Raw genomic sequence first — 22,360 nt, 5'->3', positions numbered from 1 at the left:
CTATTATCTGTGAGACTCTGGCCAAGCTACTTGCCTGCTCTGAGTGCCAACACTTCATTGGTAAATGAGGATAACAATACCATGGCAGACATGTTTCTTGCCACCCACATCCATCTACCCTTCCCTCTGGGGAGCCATCCCCTCCCCACTCCACCTCACTCCCAACCCGTTAGGAGGTGGGCATGCGACCCAGGCTTAACTCAATTGGACCAATCAGACTCTATGACATTTTTGCAAGAACTTTTAGGAAATGAGATTATTTATTTACTGTAGCCTGGCAACCATTTTGCCACCCTGAAGGGACAGAGAGCCTGTTTGAGAACGAAGCCAAAAGGAGGAAGAGAAGCTGACAGATGGAGAGAGAGAAAGAGACACTATGACAACTTCCAGAGGTCCAACCAGAAGCTGTGGTCGAAGCCAACCCCAGGTACTTTCAGTTTGCAAAACCCTACATTCTCTTTTACCTACACCAATTTAGGTTTTCTATTGCTGTCACTAGAAGAGTTAAAACAAGTACAGATACCTCACAGTGTTCAGAGAAGCAAATTTAATCAAGGCCCTAGAAAAAAGGACAGCCCACAGAGTAGGCCTCTGAGCTGTAGTTCTGAGGCCTGGTTCCCTAAGTGGGAAGGACAACCAGCCACCATGGCTCCAGACACCAAAGGGTGGGTGGGGATGCTCACCAGAGGGTTTCAGGAGGACACATGGAAATGTCCACACTGAGGTGGGACCCTCTGTGGTCACCTGGAAACCCTTGAGGAGTGTCCCACATCTGGGGGAGGCTCAGAGCCTGCTCCACAGGGCTCACATGAGTTCCCTGGGATGACACTCGTGGCTGTGCCCAATACAGCTCCTGCCGCATAGGAGGTATGTTCCTCCCCTCCCTGGCACATTCTAAGCTGAATATTTGTGAAAATAAATCCAGAAAAGTAAATACAACACTGAACTTGTCCGTGAGGAGTGTCCCACATCTGGGGGAGCCTCAGAACTGACCTAACTTCCTCAGGCCCCAACTGTACAGGTGACTTGGGCTCATCTGTATTTGCAGGGCTGCTCAGGCTTACTGGACATCAAACCCCGTCCGTGCCCACCAGCATTCAGAAGTGCAGCTGCTGGACTCTGGAGGGCCAAGATTCTGTTTTTAATGGGTGCCAGGTACTGCTGCAGGCACTTTACACATGGTACTTAACTTATAAGTGTAGAACATTGACCCTAAGTACAGTGGTTTTAAAATATGTTCACAAATTATTTGACACTCCTCCCTTTGAAAGGTGAAGCCTAGGCAAGGTGCACTGGCTCACACCTATAATCCTAGCACTGTGAGAGGCTCAGGTGGGAGGGTCACTTGAGGCCAGGAGTTTGAGGCCAGCCTGGGCAACACAGCAAGACACCATCTCTACGAAAAATTAAAAAATGAGCAGGACGTGGTGGCACGTGACTATAGTCCCAGCTACTCCAGAGGCTGAGGTGGAAGGATTACTTGAGCCCAAGAGTTCAAGGTTACAGTGAGCTATGATTCTCCTCCCCTTGAATGTAGGCCAGACTTAGTGGCTCGATTTTGAAAAACAGAATGTGGCAGAAGTGATGCTATGTGACTTCTGAGAGGTCATGGAAAGGCGAGCTTCTGCCCAGTTCTTGCTCTCCTGGATGGTTTCATTGGGGAAAGTCAGTCACTACATGGTGGAACACTTGAGCTACCTGTTGGAGGGACCCATATGGAGAAGAACTGAAGAACTGAGGCCCCCCTGCCAACAGCAGGTACAAACCCTCATCCTCCTGCCCTGCTTGTGTTAATGAAGGACGAGGGTTCCACCACTCCAGTCCTTGGTCCTGAGTGCTCTGTGGCCTGTGGCCAACAGCCAGCCAAGCGAGGGGCCACAAGGGAAGCAGATCCTCCAGTGGAGCCTTCAGACAACTGCATCCCCAGCCAACATCCTGACTGCAGTCTCATAAGAGACCTCGAGCCAGAACCACTCTGGAATCCCCAACCCACTATGAGGGCTAATCAATGTTGTTTTAAGCTACTAGGTTTTGACATGTGATTTGTGACACAGCAACAGATAACTAATACAGTGGGTGTTAGGGCTGCTATCCAGATGAGGAAGCAGAGACCCAGAATCAGACAGTGGAAAGAGAAGCGCTCCCTCAGCTGGCTGCGAGGCCAGAGCCTTGCCCCTCATTCCCTCTTCAGGAAGCTGCGGAGACACCAAGCCTTCCTTGTATTTTGGCCATTAAGTGGGGTCACCATGCATCTTAACTGCCTGGGGCAGTCCCGGTTTCTGCCTGTTGTCCTAGGGCTAATTATTCATACTGTCCCTTTCAGCTCCTAAAGGATCCCAGTCTGATAAAATAAAAAATAACAAATGGTTAAATTATGTAGTCACTCCCCAGATAAAGAATCTATCTCCGATGTTCAGGACTCAGAGCACCTCTGAAAGGTTACTGTGAAGCCAGGATAACTGTCATGTTCAGCGGACAGCCCTGCGAGCCCAGGATCAAGACATCCTCCCACACAAACCACGCTCGTGGGTTCATCCTCCGACGTTATCTTTTATTGTTCTCTATTTATGTGTGTGGGGGGGGGATATTTATTTCTTGACAACACCGTCAGTTTCTCGATGTCGGGGATCAGGTCCTACTCCATTTAATTGTGAGGCAGAATAGCAAAAGAGGAAGCATTGCCATTAGACGGACGAGGGTTCCAATCTCAGCTCTGCTACTTACTAGCTTTGTAACGTGGAGCAAACTGCAAGCTTTCTGAGCTAAGCTGTCACCCCTGTAAGATGGGAATAACAATTCCTGCTCCACAGGGCTCACATAAGTGTCCCCTGGGATGACGCACATGGCTGTGGCCAATACAGCTCCTGTGTTCCTCCCCTCCCTGGCACATTCTGAGCTGAATATTTGTGAAAATAAATCCAGAAAAGTAAATACAACACTCAACTTGGTTTGCTCTATCACAAGGAGTCAGCCAGAGTCTTTTCCTCTTCCTACTGTCAGAATGAAAGTTTCACAGAGTTTCGCGCTTGTCACCCAGGCTGGAGTGCAGTGGCGCTATCTTGGCTCACTGCAACTTCCGCCTCTTGGGTTCAAGCGATTCTCCTGCCTCTGCTTCCTGAGTAGCAAGCATGGAGAGGGTATACTTTAGAAACCCTGGATTCATGCTGTCTACTCCGGACTTTCCAAAACCTATCTTCTCACAAGAATGTGCTGTTTCCTTCCACATAAGCTTCTCAAATTAAAGACAAAGCGTGAAGGTGATGATGTTCCCATACAAGGAGGTCTGACGCCTTCTTCTGAAAGCATGGGGTTGTGTGTGAGGGCAGGCGTCTGCTCAGTCCACCCATGGTGAGCCTCAGTCACACCCGCCCATCTGCCAACCAAGGGAGGAAGAGCCCTCCCGCAATGCTGCCACTCAGCTCCTGGCTCTCCCCTTCCTCACACTCTCAGGTCATCATTTCCAAAGCATGGACTCACTTATTTGGTCCCTATTTAGTCCCCCATTTTTATGCCCTTGCAGAAGTTTTGAAAGAAAAACTGATGGTAAATGAAGGCTTCCAAGGTTCAGGGTTGGCCTTGGGACACTTAAGAGAAAGGATCTGTCCTGTGTGCCAAGCTCCCCAGATGGATGAATGCTTGAGAGAGCCTGTTTACTACTTTGCTGGGAGAGAAAAATCTCTTTCCTCCCAGCCAGCTTCACATGCCAGGTCAGCACCATGACTGGGGATTTATGGTGGGCACTGTATCAGGGAAAGAAGAATTAGACAAAAATAACTAAAGGCTACTATGTCTCAGGTATGGTCCTAAGTGCTTTACATGAATGTCTAATTTAATCTTTGCAACAAATTTATAAGGTCAACATTATTCTTAGCTCAGTCTCACAGATAAGAAAACTTAGGCATCTGTTCTGTAATTGAGGCAGCATTAAAAAAAAGAAGAAGAAAACTAAGGCCAAGGCAGAGACATCATTGAACTTGCCCAAGGTACAACACATATTAAGTGGTGCTGGGATGGGAGCAGATTTAAGCCAGAAAGTCTGGTGACAAAACCCTACTCTTAACCACTGTATTGTGCTGCTTTGTAGACAAGCTAAAACTTAAACGCCATCATGCTGAAGTGGCTTGACGTATTCATACGCCTGAGAGGGATACTAGCACAGTGAGTGCTGAAGAGTACGGAAATGGGATTAAACCTAGGCTCCACCACTTAGAAGACCTGTAAGACCCTCATCTCATGTGTAAAAAGGGATAATCCAGGGTTTCTCAGCCTCAATGCTGTTGGCATTGGGGCTGGATAATTCTTTGTTGTATGGGGAGCTGTCCTGTGCATTGTGGGGTATTTAGCAGCATCCCTGGCATACCCACTAGATGCTAATAGCGCTGAACTAGTTGTGGAAACCAAAAATTTCTCCAAAAGTTGTGAACTGTGTCTTAGGAGACAAAATTACCCTTGGTTGAGAACCACTGGGATAATTATACCTACCGCTCAGAGGTTGGGGTAGATAGTTTGCAAAAACGCCCACTCTCCAACCCTCCCTTTAACTACATCCCTTGCAGTTTTGACTTCGCAGCTACTCCCATCACGAGGTAGATTTTATTCCCCCACCTTGAATTTGAGCTGAAATCATGACTTGCTCTCACCAACAGAATGCAGCAGAAATGATGCTGTCTGTTCCAGGCCTAGATTTCAAAAAGCCTTGGAACTTCTACTCACTCTTTTGGAACCCTACAGGAGCCTGGGCCAGCCTGCTGGGGATGAGAGCCACTAGCTAAATCACTCCCCTTGTTCCAGACAACATTTGGGTTCCAGCTGACCTGCAGCTAACCACAGACACATGAGTAAGGTTGGCCAAGAACAGCCGAGCCTGGCCCAGAACTGAAAAACTGCCTAGCTAACCCCTAGAGTTATGAGCAAATAGAAATGATTGCTGTATTAAGCCCACTAGATTTGGGGGTGGTTTGTTATGCTAATGAATTCAGAGCTGCTGTGAAGAACAAATGGGAACACCTTTGAGCTACCTGGGCCCTGCCTAGCCCACAGGAAGCACTCGGGAAGGGGTAGCCATGATGATGTGGTCACTCACCCACCCCCTTTGCAGAGCCTGTGCTGCCAGCCAAGGGCAGGGCAGCCCTTGCCTGTCCACACACCACTTTCTAAGAAGCCACAGACAATTCTTCCTTTTTAGTTAAAGCCCCAAGGAGAAGTAGAACTGACATCCATAGGTGAAAACATTAGTAGAGAGAAAGAATAAAAGAACAATTGCAGAACAGTAGCATGGATTTTACTAGGCTCCAAGTGGTGAGATCATGTGCTCAAGTTCATCTACCGGAAAGAAGAGAAGCCAGGGCCTGGAGAGAAGCAGAATGTGCACAGGTGATCCTGACATCGCCTCATTTCACTTTGTACTTATGTCCCCTGGGGGCTGAGGAATGACATTCTGAACACAGAAAAACATACCAATTCAGAAGATGCATGACAAAAAATGGCCATCAATTTTATTTACTGTCCCCAAACCTTCAAAGTACTTGAGGGTACTGCAAATAAAAAGAAATATAAGAAGAACACAAACATAATAAAAACAAGGGAGGTGTTTCATAAACGTCTTCAAATAAATATTTTCCTTGCCTGCTGAAGGTGCAACCACTTCTGAGAACCCACTTAAACAGAAAAGAACTTGTTGAAAAAATTACTAAACATTACTAAATTACTAAATCCTTAAGTAAATATTTGCAAATTACTGAAGTACATTTTTTATGTGAATTGCACTAAACTCTTAAGAAATTTTTTAAAAATTTCAGTATGAATCATTTTGTAAGCAGAAGGAACTTGTGATTAAAGTAAATCAGTTCCTTATTTACCTTTTTCAAAGTCTGGATTTTATTTGCTTAGCTGATAACTTCTTGTATAGTATAGGTTAAATGTCCTAACTTTTTAGACATTTTTAGATTTAATGTTTTTCTTAATTTAGATCCAGTGTCAAGAACAGTGATCAGAAAGAGGCAAGGTCTAGATTGAAGCCCCACCCCTCCAGAACACAAACTTTTACTTCTTCATCTGTACTTAGAACATAGACTGTCTTTTCTTTGAGCCTATGGAAAAATCCTAGTAAACTGATTGTGGTCATGAGAAGAGCTACTGATGCTTTTGCTCAAATGTCAGAAAGCAATTACAGGTTGAACTGTTCTGGGATCCTGTTCCGAGATCAGGGTCAGAAATGGTTTATGATATGCCTTAGATGTTCTGTGTCACTTCTTTCTGGCCCAACTCTGATGATTTCAGCTTTGTACCATCTTCAGTAGCATTCTGAGGGCACCCAAACTCAATGACACCCCTGGCCAGGGCAGGACAATCCATTCCTTGGAGGTGGCCCTTAACAACCTGGGATTGGAGCTGGGGCGTGAGTGCTCCAGTCTCCTGTCCTATAGGTAAGCATTTCTAGGTGACTTTCTATATGCTTCTCAAAAAAGTCTTAGCACCAATGGCAGTGACCTCAAAGACATACCCTCCTTTTCTTCCTTCTTTCTTACTTTCTGGGGCGCTACTCAAATAAACCACCTGCACCTATGCATCTATGGTTTCAGGCGTTGCAACTGACAGGTACCATTTACCCTTGAGTCATTACATCTCAGGAAAAACAATGGACTGAAAAGAGCACTTTGGGAAGAAGCAGAATCAAAAAGTCCAGATAGTCCAACTGAGACGGAAAGGGAGAATTCCAGAGGGAGAAGATAGAGAGAGGGCATATTGATAGCTTGAAGAGACAGCAAGGAAGAGTCAAGGACACGGGGTCCTCCTGGAGCTGACTCATGTGTGCAGGGGGAAGGAGATGGAACCAGAGTGTAAAAAATGAACTTGCCTGGGTCCTCACTCTGCAAAGCCAAACTTCCTCTGGTTTCATTTCCCCCCAAATGGCACACCCACCCCACAGAGCTGACAGACTATCTACCAGTCTTTCCACTTTTTGCTGCCTCCAACCTTAAGTCCCCACCAGGAAGAGAATGAATGGATGACTTCAGAAAAGGAAGATACCACATGGGGCCTGGCCCCACTAGAACATTCCTTCTTTCCAGATGAACAAATGGGAGGACTGAGCAGTGAATGAGGGTTTGCTCGGGGTGGGCCAGAGGAAGTTTTTTATACTAGAAAGCTGGGTGAATCATTGCTTTAAAAAAGCTCAGATGCTCAGTATGCATGCTCTTTCCTCTCACTGCCCTATTAATTCATGAGGCACAAGAAAAATAAAATGGTTGCTGTATACTTCCAGCCAAGTCAAAGAAACCTCATTTCCCAAAGCCAAAACTAATATTGTACACTGCAACTGGCTAGAAAGCCGATACAGAAAGCAGGTAGAGCATTTCACGGAATACACGTGGTAACCCCGAGCTGAAAAACGAGGGCTGGGAGAGGGCCTCAGAGCTCTCCCACACGAAGCTGGACTTTCAGAGACGTGGAAGAAAGAAGAAACTATTCTGAACCTACATTTGGTTTTCTTAAACAAGGACCAAAAACCTGGTATGCCATTTGGCCTTGTGACTTTCAACAGACCATTTCCTTTCCCAGGGCCTTGTTCTATATGTAACATGCAACCTTTTAGGCCTTTAACAACTTGAGCTTCCATCCTCCTATGACAAGATTCAGATTTAAAGCTTGGATCTATCCACTAGCTAATGACTGTCAGCAGTGACGAAATGTGTAAATGGTACTTTTATAAGTGAAAATTCTGATCTCCATTAAAAATCCTCTATTTTCATTAAGGTCAAATTTTTTGGCTTATCTTCTAAAGTAAGGAAAAATGATAACGGTATACTTAATACCTGTTAACACATAACTTTGCTGAATGAAAGAGTGAATGCCATCGTGATCCCACTCATGATCAAGCCAGCCAACATTCATGCCATTCTAAGCATCCACTTTCCCATTTGTAAGTTTGGTACTTCTAAGAGGGGAACTAACACCTTTAGACCTCTGAAATCAGAGTAAATGGTTATCTTTGCAATGCCTAGTTCTGAACCATGCAAACAAGGGGCTTCCTGTTATTCATTCAGTCTCTTACTGGTAGAAATTGCTTTTGACTTAAAATAAAACAAAACAAAAATAAGGGCTTTTATCCCATGAAAATCACAGATGTTCTACAACCCAGCATTGCCCACATTGTACTCTGCACACTAGGAAACTAGAACATGTCGCAGGATTCCAGCTGACACAGGATATAATCAATCATTCCATAACCTACCAATTTCTTTGGTGTCTACAAGAGTTTCAGACCCACCATGCCAATAGCACAAAGCCACCAGCATCCAGCAAGTCACCGGTGTTGTATTTCTGTAGGGGATCTGGGTTTTTCCCAGTGATATTGGGCCTGAGTTGGATGGTGGTGGTGGAGTTGGAGACAGTGTGTGCAGACAGCCCAAGCCCCCTGACTCACAAAGGGTAAGACTTCACATCATACTCTACTTCCAGTCGTTCAGTGCTCAACGGGCAAATGAGAAAACAGGATAGACCATGCTATTTCCACCTTCCCAGCCCCAGTCAAAGGCAAAGCTCTCATAGGTGCTCTTCCTTTTATTTGAGTTCACTTGGGGACAAATTAATTCCAGAGAGGAAAACCCAAGAGTGAGGCTGCTGCCAGCTTTCCAGGACCTGGAGTGGAGACACGCGGGCACCTCAGGAAAGCTCATTCCAGGGGAGGCTGGTGGGGAGCTGGGTCTGTGTGCCAGAATCCTTGGGTACTGAAGGAAAAGCCTTGTTTAGACAAATCGCAGCTGTCTCAGAAAATTCATCAATGCTTCCTTGCCCATTGCCCCCCTCCACAAAAAACTGGCCGTGATGTAATAAGAAAGATCTAATTCACAAAGCACCTGGCACTCCAGAGGGTAATGTCTACAAAGCCACGTGAGCAGCCAGCATACCCCAAAAGACATGTAAATAAGCCTCTTTATGCAAAGAAGATGCATTAGAGCACACTGGAGTCAGCCTGCCTGTGCCTGAACCCCAGCCCCAATACTCACCAAGGAAGCTGGTATTTGTAGGAGAGAGATTAAGTACCAGCCTGCCTGTGCCTGAATCCCAGCCCCACCACTCACTAAGGAAGTTGAGTCACCTCCTTAAGCTTGCTAAGCCATGGTTTCCTCATCAGGAAAACTGAGATGGTAACTGCACATACCTCACTGGGTTGCTGTGAGGGTTAAACACGTTAATAAAAAGTGTTGAGCAGCCTCTGGCACATAAACAAGCTCTCAGTAAGGGTCAGCTCTCACTGCCTGCTGTTGCAACTATGTTGGTTGTATGTCTTCAGAGAACAGAGAAAAGTGCAAGCTTTCTGCTTATTTTTGCAAACACTAGCAGAAATCTGACACCAAAACCTGACAAGAAAGAAAATTACAGAGAAATCTTGTTTATGACTATAGATACAAATATACTAAATAAAATCTTAGCAAGTTGAACCCAGCCAGATATTTAAAGAATGATACACAATAGCCAAATAGAAGGTGAAACTTTTAAGATATAATTGACCTTTTTTATAGGTCAAAAAAGAGAAGACTAAAAACTTAGCATGTCAATATTTTAAGTACTAATAGTTAATGAAAAAGAAAGTTGTAATCTCAGCAACCCAATTGATCAAAAACTTCAGATTTAACTGAACTGGATTGGGCCTCCTTCAGAACAAATAATCTCAGAACAAATACTTACAAAGTAGACTTACATTAGGTTGTATTGCACAGATAAGAGAATCCAAACAGGTTCATTTGAAGGAAAAGATTCCGGTCATAAAAAAATTAAAACATATCTAATTGGTCAGATCAGTAATTTGGGAAGTTTCTGCTGTAATAAACCAAAGTTACTGATTAAAAAAGGGGGGGACCTGTCTGTTTTAGGTCTGGTTAGAAACAGACCCTGAGATGAGAATTTATGAGTAAAATATGTTCAAATATGTCCCCAGGGAGACCAGTAAGGGAGTAGAGGCAGCAGCAGGATCTCTATTTACCCCAACACCTGGAACCTTCCGGGAGGCAGAGCTCTTTTCCTGTGCATTCCCCAGGGACAGGGCGACCATGTGACCCACCTTTGGGTTTCTGGGTCTCTGGTTTCTAGGTGGTCAGTGAGTGTCAACGGAATTCTCACATCTCTTGTCAGAGGAGAGCTTGGCTGCATTTAGAAAGACTAAGCTTTTATAATGAAGATGCCCGGGCAAGGAGGCACCCTGAGATTACACATTTCCCAACTGTGATTGTCAAGAGAGTGATATTCTTAAGATGAGGGTTAGCAGCTCCTCTCCTGCAGCTGACTGTACCGTGAGGTCTCCTGGGCCACTCCCACCCTCTCAAATACAGCCCCACCTCTCCTGCCTGACGGTTTTCTCTGCTTAACCCCAGAGAGCAGCCACCTCATTTTTTTTTCCCTTTAGAGAATTGCATTCTGCCTTTTGAGGGGAGTCACTGCAAACAGAACAGAGCTCTCTATTCAAAGGCCATGGGCTTTGCAAGGTCCTTCTTTAACCCTCCCAGAGAAAAACTGATACCTTGGAGAAGACCTCTCAATACACAGCTCTAACCACCTTGCCAATCGGCAGGAACCCATCAGAGGCTGCCACTGTCTCACACAGACATTCCCCTTGGATGAAGGCAAATCTTCATCTGGGAGAAGTGTGTGCATAGTGTGCAAAACACAGGCTCAGTGTCCAGACAAGCTGGGCTCAAATCCCAGCTATGATATTTCCTGGCTGCACCGTCCTGGGGCTGAGAAATCTTTCTGGAGCCCCAGTTTCCTCATTTTTATAATGGCTCATTGTGAGGCTATAGTAGGTGACTGTAATTACCGTGACTATCACTCAGCTTCACAGGTAGACCTGTACCCTCACCACCCTAAGCCCTTCTAAGTGGCTCATGCATGTTGGCAGCCATGGCTACAAACAGGCTCCTCCAATGCTAAATAACTCACCTTTTCCCCAACCCACCCTGGGCCCTGAGCCACACTCTGATGGACCATGTACATCTGTTCCTGAGACTCTGAGAGCTCCCTGAAAGCAGAGATGACCTCGTTATGTCCTCATCTGGAGGCCAAAGCTTCCAGATGGCCTGTGTGGTTGGAGGCCTGTATTTAATCTCCTCAAATGCTATAGCCCGTGAACTGCTGCTCTGTATTCTGTATTTTGTCTTAGTGAGGACCAGAAAGAAGAGTGAGTGAAAAAGAGAAGTGTGGCTGAGTCACTGAGAAGCCAGAAGTCACCTTGTCTGTGAGGTGGTCACAGGTTGTCGCAGACCCCACTGATGTTCCTCCAGATCCCCTGCCCTGTGTCTCCACCTGCTGACACCTGCATTTTTTCACCTGAGGACTTTTTCTTGTCATAAAACTGCTCTGCCCCTGCAAACAACAGGCCAGAAGTGTCAAGATCTTAATGCCTTCAGGAGCAGCCCTCAATCAACAGCTGCTGGGAGCAGGTGGATAAAGGCCCCAGACTCCTCACCACGCAGGCAGAAGAACCCCAAGGAGCTTGCTCTGTGGACCCAGGGTTCCCCAGTGGGAGTAAGCCCAGCTGCCCATAGTTGTGGCTGGCTTGACACTCTGTCCTTTTCTCCTGTTTTCTTTTCTCTGTCTCACTTCCTAATATATCCCCCTATCTTCACCTCCCAAACAAACTACAGGTACTTTACACTTGAATTCTTATCTCAGGGTTTGCTTCTGGGGATACCTAAATAAGACATGAGTGTTACTTGGGGTTATTTTAAAGAGCCCATAGCAGAGATTATTTCAAGCCCATAGGATTACAGCTCACACTCCAGCCCTATCAAGGGCCTGCAAACTTGGGCTACTGCAGAAACCCATGTGGACAAAGGACTGCTCTGGCAGGAAAGAGATTCTGGCTTTGAATGAGGGGTCCAGGGAGGAATATGCAGGCATGGCCTTGGTCCACTGTCTGTCACCCCTGAAGGCACAGACATAGGCTGTTCCTCAGTGATGAGTTCCAGCACCAACAGACTTAACTCACTTTTCAGGCCTGATCCCATACAGCAAGATGCAATCACCAGGTGGGGGAAGCATTTCTCCATTTCTGATTCCTGATGGTTTCCCTTTTCCGGGAGATAAGGAATTAGCATTTTTCTCCAAACCCCTACATTGTTTACTAGTTTTTAACACTACTTAAAAATTACTGGTGTAATATAAAACAATAATTGAAAGAGTGCTCATAAAGTACAGAGAAAGATAGATATACCCATCTTCTATCCATTTATTTGCCCACCATCCATTAGTTTATTCAACAAAGATTGAGATCCTACCACACATCCAGGCACTGCTGCAGTTACTAGGTATGAATCAATGAATAAAAAGTCATTCCAGGCCGGGTGTGGTGGCTCACTCTGTAATCTCCAGCACTTTGGGAGGCTGAGGTGGGTGGATCACTTGAGCTCAGGAGTTCAAGACCAGCCTGGGCAACATGGCAAAACCCCCATCTCTACAGAAAATACAAAAATTACCCAGGTGTGGTGGTGCATGCCTGTATTCCCAACTACTCCGGAGGCTGGGAGGATCGCTTGAGCCTGGGAGGTGGAGGTTGCAGTGAGCCAAGATCATGTCACTGCACTCTATCCTGGGCAACAGAGTGAGACCTTGTCTCAAAAAAGTCATTGCATATTATATGTAGAAACCTAACCTAATTCCGGTAGGAGGACTAAGACAACCAGCAACAAACAAATAGTATGTCCGGCTAGGTGCAGTGGCTCACACCTGTCATCCCAGCACTTTGGGAGGCCAAGGAGGGAGGATCACTTGAGGCCAGGAATTCGAGACCAGCCTAGCCAACATGGTGAAACCCCATCTCTACTAAAAAGACAAAAAATTAGCTGAGCATGGTAGCATGCACCTATAATCCCAGCTACTTGGGAGGTTGAGGAGGAGAATTGCTTGAACCAGGGAGGCGGAGGTTGCAGTGAGCCAAGATCATGCCACTGCACTCCAGTCTGGGTGACAGAGGGAGACTCTGTTTCAAGAAAACAAAACAAAAAAATAGTATGCCAGATGGTCATAGGTTCTATAGAGAAAAGCAAGATAAAGAGGACAGATAGGGTGTTTGGAGTAGTAGGATATTTCTAATCAGGTGACATTTAAGCACAGACAAGAAGGAAATGGGGAGTGGGCTATGTGCCTATTTAAGGGAAGAGCCAGTGTCAACGCCCTGAGGCAGGGATAAGCTTAGTGTGTTTCAAGGAACAGAAGGAGGCCACTGAGGCTACAAGGAAGAAAGTGACAGGACACATGTTCAGAGAGGCAGCAACGGGGTCAGATCTTCTAGGGCCTTAGAGGTATTATAAAAAACTAAGCTTTACAATGAGATGAGAAGCCACTGGAGACTTCTGAGCAAAGGAGTGTAAGAGGAGGAGTGTAAGAGGTAAAGGTGGAAGCACGGAAACCAATTATGAAGAAGGCTATTGCCAATCAATAATGAGGCAAAAGACGATGGTGACTTGGACCAAGATGGAACCAATGGTGATGGTGAGAACTGGCTGGATTATGAGATACTCTGTAGGATCAGCCAACAGGGTGTTTGAGAAATAGATGTGGTGTATGAGAGAAAAGGGAGAGCCAAGAAGGATGGAGTTACTGTTTCCTACAAATGGAACAGGTGTCAGGAGGATCAGGAACTCATTTTGGACATCTTAAGTGTGAGAAATGTGTTAGACAGCAAGTGGAGAGGCCAAACAGGCAATTTGGTACCCAACGCTGGAGTTCAGGAGTGAGCTCTGGGCTGGAGGGGAAAATTTGGGAGTTGTCAGCATGTCCATGATATGAAGTTATGAGACTTGACCAGTTCATCCAGGGAATGCGTATACACAGAAGAAAAGCATTCTCAGGACCGCACCCTGAGGCTCTCCAATGTTGAAAGGTTGGCAAGATAAGGAGACCCCAACAAAGGAAGCAGAAAAGGAGTGGCGAGTGAGAAGAATTGGGGTGAGGAGTGTACCACAGCACAGGAGAAGAAAAGTATCCCCAGAAGAAGGGAGTGCAGAAGACTTGAACAGGCTAAAATAAGTGTCCCAATGGCTGAGGGGCACGTGAAAACGTGTTTATTAGTCATATGGGAGATGCAGCTCTAAATCACAAAGAAACACAATTACACACCAGAATGGCTAAAATAAAAATGACTGACAATACTGAATATACAAGGATGGGGACCAACTCAAACTCTTATACATTGCTGGTGAGGGTGTAAAAGGCAGAACCACTTTGAAAAGCTATTTGGCAGTTTCTAATAAAGCTAAACAGTGACCCTTTGAGCCAGCACCTACACTCACTAGCATTTACTCAATAAATGAAAAAAAACATGCACACGAAAACTGGTATAAAAATGTTCTTAGTATCCTTATTCACAAAAGATAAAACCAGAAACAACTTCAATGTCCATCATCAGGATAATGGAGAAAACATATTGTGGCATATTCATATGATGGAAAACGGGATCTCTTCCTTACACCTTATACAAAAATTAATTCAAGATAGATTAAAAACTTAGATGTTAGACCTAAAACCATAAAAACCCTAGAAGAAAACCTAGGCAATATCATTCAGGACATAGGCATAGGCAAGGACTTCATGTCTAAAACACCAAAAGCAATGGCAACAAAAGCCAAAATTGACAAATGGGATCTAATTAAACTAAAGAGCTTCTGCACAGCAAAGGAAACTACCATCAGAGTGAACAGGCAACCTACAAAATGGGAGAAAATTTTTGCAATCTACCCATCTGACAAAGGGCTAATATCCAGAATCTACAAAGAACTTAAACAAATGTACAAGAAAAAAAACAAACAATGCCATCCAAAAGTGGGCAAAGGATATGAACAGACACTTCTCAAAAGAAGACATTTATGCAGCCAAAAGACACATGAAAAAATGCTCATCATCACTGGCCATCAGAGAAATGCAAATCAAAACCACAATAAGATATCATCTCACACCAGTTAGAATGGCAATCATTAAAAAGTCAGGAAACCACAGATGCTGGAGAGGATGTGGAGAAATAGGAATGCTTTTACACTGTTGGTGGGACTGTCAACTAGTTCAACCATTGTGGAAGACAGTGTGGTGATTCCTCAAGGATCTAGAACTAGAAACACCATTTGACCCAGCCATCCCATTATTGGGTGTATACCCAAAGGATTATAAATCATGCTGCTATAAAGAACATGCACACGTATGTTTATTGCAGCACTATTTCCAATAGCAAAAACTTGGAACCAACCCAAATGTCCATCAATAATAGACTAGATTAAGAAAATGTGGCACATATACACCATGGAATACTATGTAGCCATAAAAAGGGATGAGTTCATGTCCTTTGCAGGGACATGGATGAAGCTGGAAACCATCATTCTGAGCAAACTATCACAAGGATAGAAAACCAAACACCCCATGTTCTCACTCATAGGTGGGAATTGAACAATGAGAACACTTGGACACAAGAAGGGGAACATCACACATGGGGGCCTGTCGTGGGGTTGGGGGCAAGGGGAGGGACAGCATTAGGAGAAATATCTAATGTAAATGATGAGTTAATGGGTGCAGCAAACCAACATGGCACATGTATACCTATGTAACAAACCTGCACGTTGTGCACATGTACCCTAGAACTTAAAGTATAATAATAATAATAATAATAATAATAATAATAATAATAATAATAACAGAAGTAGTCGTTATTTGTACTAATAGATGCTGACGGGTCCAGAAAGAAGACTGAAAAATGACTACTGGATTTAGCCAGGTGTAGGTCATGACTGTCCTGTACATTACCTGTTGGTAATACAGCAAGTCTGAGTACAATCGAGTCTCTAGCCACTCTCTGGCCCAGCGAACCTTTTCTCTTTTTCTTTAGTTGTATACAGACATATTCTCTTTGTCTCAGTCTTAGGCCATGGCAGCCTCTGAGTGACTTTCTCATCTCTAAGAAGGGACCTCCCTGACCATTTTGAGATTTTCCTCTGAGGCCCTGGATATCTCGCCCTGGTTTCAATTTTTCATTTTCATACAGATACCCAACGATCTTGTTAAAATGCATATCCTGACCCCGGAGGGCTGCGGCCTGAGATTCTGCATTTCTAACACACTCCCAGGTGACGTCACCATGCTGGTTCATGGACCATATTCGAGTAGCAAGGGTATAAATGACATGATTACACTTCCAAATAACACAAAAAGACCAAGAAAATAAAAGAGGGAATGCCTCAAGAATAAATAGAATTGTGCTGTGGCTACCACATTAACAGAAATATCATGTTTAGACTCGGGACAATAATAACTATGCTGGGCTGGTTGAATTGCAGTTCAAGCCTGGGTTCTATTTTAAAAAGGAAGATGCCAAACTAGAGACAGCACAGGGAGTGATAAACAGAACAGTGAAGAAGGGCCTGGAAATTATATATACCAAATGGTCTGAAGGACAGGGGTTCTGGAACTTGGTCTTTATTGCATGGATTGACCTAGTATGGAGCTGTGGCACCTCTGTTGAAGGACAGAAATCCAAACACATTGACAACATCGTTGAAATGGCTTCATTTTGTGAAAATAAGAAATACACGTCAGTGAAGATAGATAAGGCGGACAGATAAAGATCATCTTATAATTGAGCAGGATCTGACAAATACTGAAGGGAGTAGACTCACTGGGCAGTCCTTCCCCAGTTCTGCTACGTATCTCAGGGATACACACTCACAAACTACCTCTCTCAGGTCTCTGCCCTGCTGACTCTGCTGGTGCTTCCCAATGGCCACTCTTCCCTTCCTCCCAATAAACACAACTCTGACTCTGTCTAGAGTAGCAATGTGCCCAGCTGAGAAAATTCATTTGCCACCCCACCTTGTGGCATGGTGCTGGCCAATGAGATATATGTGGAAAATGTCAAGTGGAGCTTTAGGAAAGCTCTTTAAAAGGAGGCAGACCTTTTGCCCTTTGTCCTTCTCCTTCTTGCTTGGAATGCAGCTGTAGTGTTGGAAGCGGAAACCAAAAAGCACCATCAGGGAAAGCCCAGCCTTGGAGTATGGAGATGAAAACCCCTATGAAGACAGGCTGAGAGGAAAGACAGAAGGAATGGGGTTCCTGTGGGTACCACACAGGTGCATACTAGCCCTGAAATGCCCATTTCTTATTTTATTATTACCAAAGAAAAATAAAAGTCTCACAAGGATCAGCTGCTAAAAAAGGTGGCTTTTCTGTTACATGCAGCCCAACATATTCCTAACTGATTTTAAACACAGACTTGCTTGGGAGAGCAGGACAGGCTCACTAGTTATGCTCAGGTGCCTGAGTTACAACAATGCCAGAGGCCACCACACATCACAGGCAGAGCATGGGGGCAGTGGAAGCCCAGACTGTCTGTAAGCCTGGCCTCAAAAGGATGAAATGACAGCCCTGGCAAGCTGGATGGTGACGGACTGTAGCCGTACATTCACATTCTCTGTTAAATTCCACGGGCATCTGTATATGTCAATTCCCCAATTCAGATGCTGGTAGAAACATCCCATGTGCAACTGACACAGAATATCATACAAACACCTCAAGAGTTCAAAGACTTTTGTCAATATGCTTGTAATATATCCTTCAGAACAAGAAGGAAACCAGTTGAAGGTAAACCGACTGTAGCAAACAATTTCAATGCCCCACCCAATGCTCCTTGGACTCCCTTTACATGCACACTGTGGCTTCAGTCTTCGTTTGGCTCCAAGAGCCAGAACCGTGGGTCTTCTTCTGCCCTTAAGCTATTGAAGCCCCACTGTCTACACTTCACCCCTGGGTGGAAAGTGCCTAGGACCACTTTCTACCACTTATTCCTCCCTAAGTGGCCCTTAACCAATGACTGGTGTTTACGGGAGAACAAAACTCAGCTTCCTAAGCTGGAGATGGAACAGTACCTTGGCGTAACTCACACCTCTGATCCCCCTTGCAGCATCAGGCTGAGGCCACGCTCTGAGGGACCCTGCCTGAGTTTCAGTCCTGCCCTGTCCTGCGTCTCTCCACTCCCTACCTGTCTTCCCCCGGAAACACATCCTTTATGAACCACTTGCATGTGAGCCCTCATCTCAGGATCTGCTCAGGGAAACCCAGACTAGGACACTGAAGTTCTCGATTTTTGAAAATTTTATTTTATTCGCCTTAGCTTAGTAGTCTTTCATGGCTTTCTTTTCAAGAGATGCTGTGCTGCTTTAGGAAGATTTAAAATCCAAGACTCCCCCCTTTCCCCTTAAAAGAGGAAATTATTAAATTGCTGTTTTGCAGTTAGTTAGAAAAAAAGAAATCTAGAGGTTTAACACATGTTTTCTAAATTCCCCCCACAGATTCACTCAAGTCTTGCGGCTCTGGGAAACGTCCTTCTTAATTGATCCTTGTCGTAACTACAGCTCTGTTGACATTTCTAAAGCAAAACATAGCCTTCCTTCCAAACGCAGTGAATACACAAATGAAGCTTTTCATATACGTGAAAGCTGAGCCCCGCGGCGGAATACTGAAGCCGCCTTGTGATTTGAAATGGACATCTGCGTTTCTCCACCACTTCCTCACTGCCGACTGCCGCAGGAAGCGCCCAGCCTGTCTCCCAGGCAGTTTCACTCAAGGCTGGGCTCTCCCTGATGCAAGGGCCACAGGTAATCCAGGTGAGGAAATACAAACACAGGCTGGGGGTGCCTGCTCCCCGCCACCTTCTCTTGTCCTCTCAAGGAGGAAGGGAAGGGCCTGCAGAAGCAACTGAGAAACACTGAAGGGTCTCTGAGGAATGCCGAGTTTCCATCTGATAAGCGGATGGGGAAGACCAACAAAGCAAGATAAAGAGCTTGCTGTTGTGTTAGAGCCTCGAGTGGGCTTCCAGCCAGGTGAGGCTTTTCTACCTGGCGTTATACAGGAAGTTCAAGGTAAAGTCACCAGGGGGCTTGGGGCACTGGATTAAAGACAGGAAGGGGGCGGAAAAGACTTATTATTTTCTAAGTATCGGCATCCACCCTCAGGGCTCTCTTACCAGGGCAAGCAGCAAGTTCATTCATCATCTTAATGGCCAGGCCAAGATGACTATAAACATCTAAGGGTTGAATTTTACTTGAGGCTACTATTAACTTGACAAGAGACACCAGAGAAAGCAGAACACAATGAAAATCAGTCCCTGCGCTGAATGAAAGCGGCAGTGAAGGAAGGCTGTAATCTGTCCCAGCACTGAGGGATGAGGCTCACTTCTGCCTAAGAACCATTCTGTTGCTCAATGCTTGGTTTCCCGGCTGTAACACAATTTGCTTTGTTCTCCTGCCCAGATGCAGTTTCTGTATGGAACCTTCTGTCTAAAAACAGGCCAAAGCACTCCCTCAAATAAAGGTATACAAACACATAAATGTTTAAGTCCTTCCTGCTCTATCCAGATTAGCAAGTGGATCTGTTTTATCACCTGGTGCCATCTTGAGCGGTTTGCCTTGAAAGTGAAGAGAGAACCACTCCTGAAAGAAAGGGACCACCCTTTCTGTGGTAAAGGTAGATATAATCTGAAGAATCACTTGATAAGAAAAACAAACTTACAAGCCCTCGATGCCTTCTGTCATAAAAAATTAGCCACTGAAAGCCTTGAAAGTTGACCTGGTGCTTTACTGCCTCCAAACCCCAACTTGGAAGACCAGTTTAATTTGGAACTCAAATTATACTCCTTAGAAACAGCAAAAATGAGCTTCCCTTCGAACATCATCACCCCTCCCACAATACCCTCCCATGGAGGAAATAAGGACCTAGGGCCTATCCATCTATCTCAGTCTCTCAAGGAGATCAGAGACAATGCAACATCTTATTAGCCAAATTCAGTGACTTATGGCCAACCGATGCCAGGTACGAAGCACATTCCTCACGAGCTTACAGTGCTCTGTGCGCTAGAGCATGATCAGGAGTAGAGGATCTGGGTTCTCCCTGCTGAGTTCACAATCACCCCTCTTCCTCACTTGTCTTTCTTCCAGCAGTCCCAACACTGAGTCTCTGACCTTCCTGGCCTGTCAGCACTGTTTCTTTGTTCTTCCTCTAAGATGTCTCTAGCCTCTGTTCTTCGTTCTCTGTTCTCTCAGTCAAGACCTCACTTACTGCCTACCTGATAAAAAGTCTGAATCCCATACCGCACTCCTCCAGCCCTTTGGGCCAGATGCCTCCCTGCCCAGTCTGAAAGAGTCAGGACCTAGCCCCCTGCCATTGTTTTTGGAGGGCATTATTCTCCTCATTATCTAAACTTCGCTATTATGTATTACGTGCATCACATATTTGAACAATTATATATCTTGGTTTTAAAAAGTCAATATCCCTAAACCAAAAACTCCAATACTTAAGCAAATGGTAAGTAAATGGAAAAAAAAAATCAACAAGCATTATTTTAAAAAAATCAGGAGTCACAAAAGCCAACACAGACATTTATTGAACTGACCTATATTTACTGCTTCACATTAATTTTCATATAATTTTATTTTCTTAAGTACAAGCAACTCATTAAATTAAAAAATGTTCAGTTTAACACTGTCTCTATTTTTTTTTACAGTATGTAGACACACACACACACACACACACACACACACACTCTCTCTCTCTCTCAATCCTTCATTAAGACAATGACTGATAATTTTTGGCTTAAAAGGAAGAGTTATCACCCCCTGACATACATTCTATGTTTTATATTCTTGCCTTATTTTCCTCTTCCCCCTCAGCATTTAATCTTGGTCTGAAGTAGGTGATCAGTATATCTCTTCTGAGTAAATGAATGAGCTATAAAGTATAAGCTCATGTGTGGCAGAGTCGGGACTACCATGGTAGTACCCATCATATACAAGTGGGACTGTACATGATGGTGTAGGACTCATTTAATCCTTGGCACAATCCCACTTTATAGAGAAAGAAACTGAGGCACAGAGAGAAGACCCTTGAGCCAAGGCCACACTGGCCACAAGAAACAGAGTTGGAATCTCAACTCTGCATCTGCTGGTCACCAAAGCTACACTTTCCCTCTATTTCACACTGGTTGCCTGTTATTTTACTTCTAGCAGCTTCTAAAATTCAAACTCCAGTTTAGCTGCTTCTTGCAATCACTGTGAAGTACAAATATTCCAGCCAGCAAATAGTTTTCAAAACATCATGAGTTCTAAAAATTCCATGGACACTACATTCCGGTTGACCCTCTCCACTCCTCTCCTTCCCCAGACACTCGGACACTTGAAGCCCCAAACTCTCATCTCTTTGACTAATTTATCTGTTGCCAAGGGGAGAACATGAAACACAGTAAGGCTGCAGACAGACTAGTTCTACCAGAAATGCAGATCCGGACTAGAACATACGGAAAACAGCCAGGCTGGAGGTCACAGGCTGGTGGCCTGCAGGCTGGAGGTGGTCACTGGACATGTTTTGTTTGGCTCATACGATGTTCAGAAAACATTTTAATTAGCTGCCAAAGTCATAAGATCTCTCGGTTTTATTAGAAAATAGAGTGTGCTGGGCCTCACTCCCACCTGGCAACCACTGAATGCTGCTGTGAGCCTGCTGCCCTGTGGGTGAAGCTGGAACCCTCCATCTTCCCACTGTCTTCACTGCTTCCTCCTGCCCCACCCTGGTCCTCTTCACCCACATACCACACCTGCCTCACCCAACTCCTGCACACTGTGAGGTGTATGCTACTAGATCTTGTATAAGAACCTCAGCGAGGCTCTATCAGACCAACCCACAACTTCTAGGAGTCTAGAAAGTGAGGTGCTCAGGTTAGAGATACTTCTAATCCTGTGGGCCTCTCTGGCAGAGGCTGGTGAGCCCTGACCACATTACTTGCACTCTCAGGGTGCTCCAGCCCACTTCCAGCTGCCAGGGGCTATATTACGGCATCTCTGCACCCAAGAGCATTTTTCCAAAACCATGTAGGTCTCTCCTGCCATGCATATGGGAGGGCAGGAGTACTGGAGAATATAAATAGCCCCAGGAGACCTCAATTCTTGACACTTGGGGAAAGGAGTATAAAACCCCCAGCTCCCTTACTCTTCCTAGTGTTGCCCTGCAGGAATAAGCCCCATTGCCCACTGTAGTAGTTGGTTTAACAGCTCACTTTTCATTCACTGCCTCCTGCCTATATAACTTCACCTCCCTACCATTGTTTCACCTCCCTACTATATCACTTCAACCCCCTACCATTATTTCTTGCATCTCCCAAATAAAGAAATTTCCCTGAATTCCTCGCCATCTGGGAGACCCAAACCAAGAGAGCATCTCACACTGTGTGTAAGAGTCGGGCCAGGGTGCCTGCCCTGCTTGTTCTCCCTTCTCTCCTAGCATGGCCTCCTCTATCACTCTGTGGCAAGCTGTTGCATCCTGTTTGCACCCAAAAGTC

The 22,360-nt window shown here is 45.1% G+C and overlaps 1 protein-coding gene across 1 annotated transcript in view, besides 1 other annotated feature; it reads right to left on the bottom strand.

The window, feature by feature from the left end:
* The window catches only part of ITGA9 (integrin subunit alpha 9), a 371,367-nt gene that overhangs the window by 110,523 nt on the left and 238,484 nt on the right, over window positions 1–22,360 (bottom strand). The window lies entirely within an intron of this gene.
* Window positions 18,802–19,493: an enhancer, noted in NCBI's record as "NANOG-H3K4me1 hESC enhancer chr3:37734983-37735674 (GRCh37/hg19 assembly coordinates)". NCBI's record gives its function as "activates a minimal SCP1, AML or CMV promoter by ChIP-STARR-seq in naive and primed H9 embryonic stem cells {active_cell/tissue: H9 hESC(naive and primed)}" and the evidence as "EXISTENCE:reporter gene assay evidence [ECO:0000049][PMID:30033119]".

Source organism: Homo sapiens, chromosome 3 (genome assembly GCF_000001405.40).
Source record: "Homo sapiens chromosome 3, GRCh38.p14 Primary Assembly".
In the NCBI taxonomy this organism is placed as follows: domain Eukaryota; kingdom Metazoa; phylum Chordata; class Mammalia; order Primates; family Hominidae; genus Homo; species Homo sapiens.
This window is presented reverse-complemented; position numbering and strand designations above follow the sequence as displayed.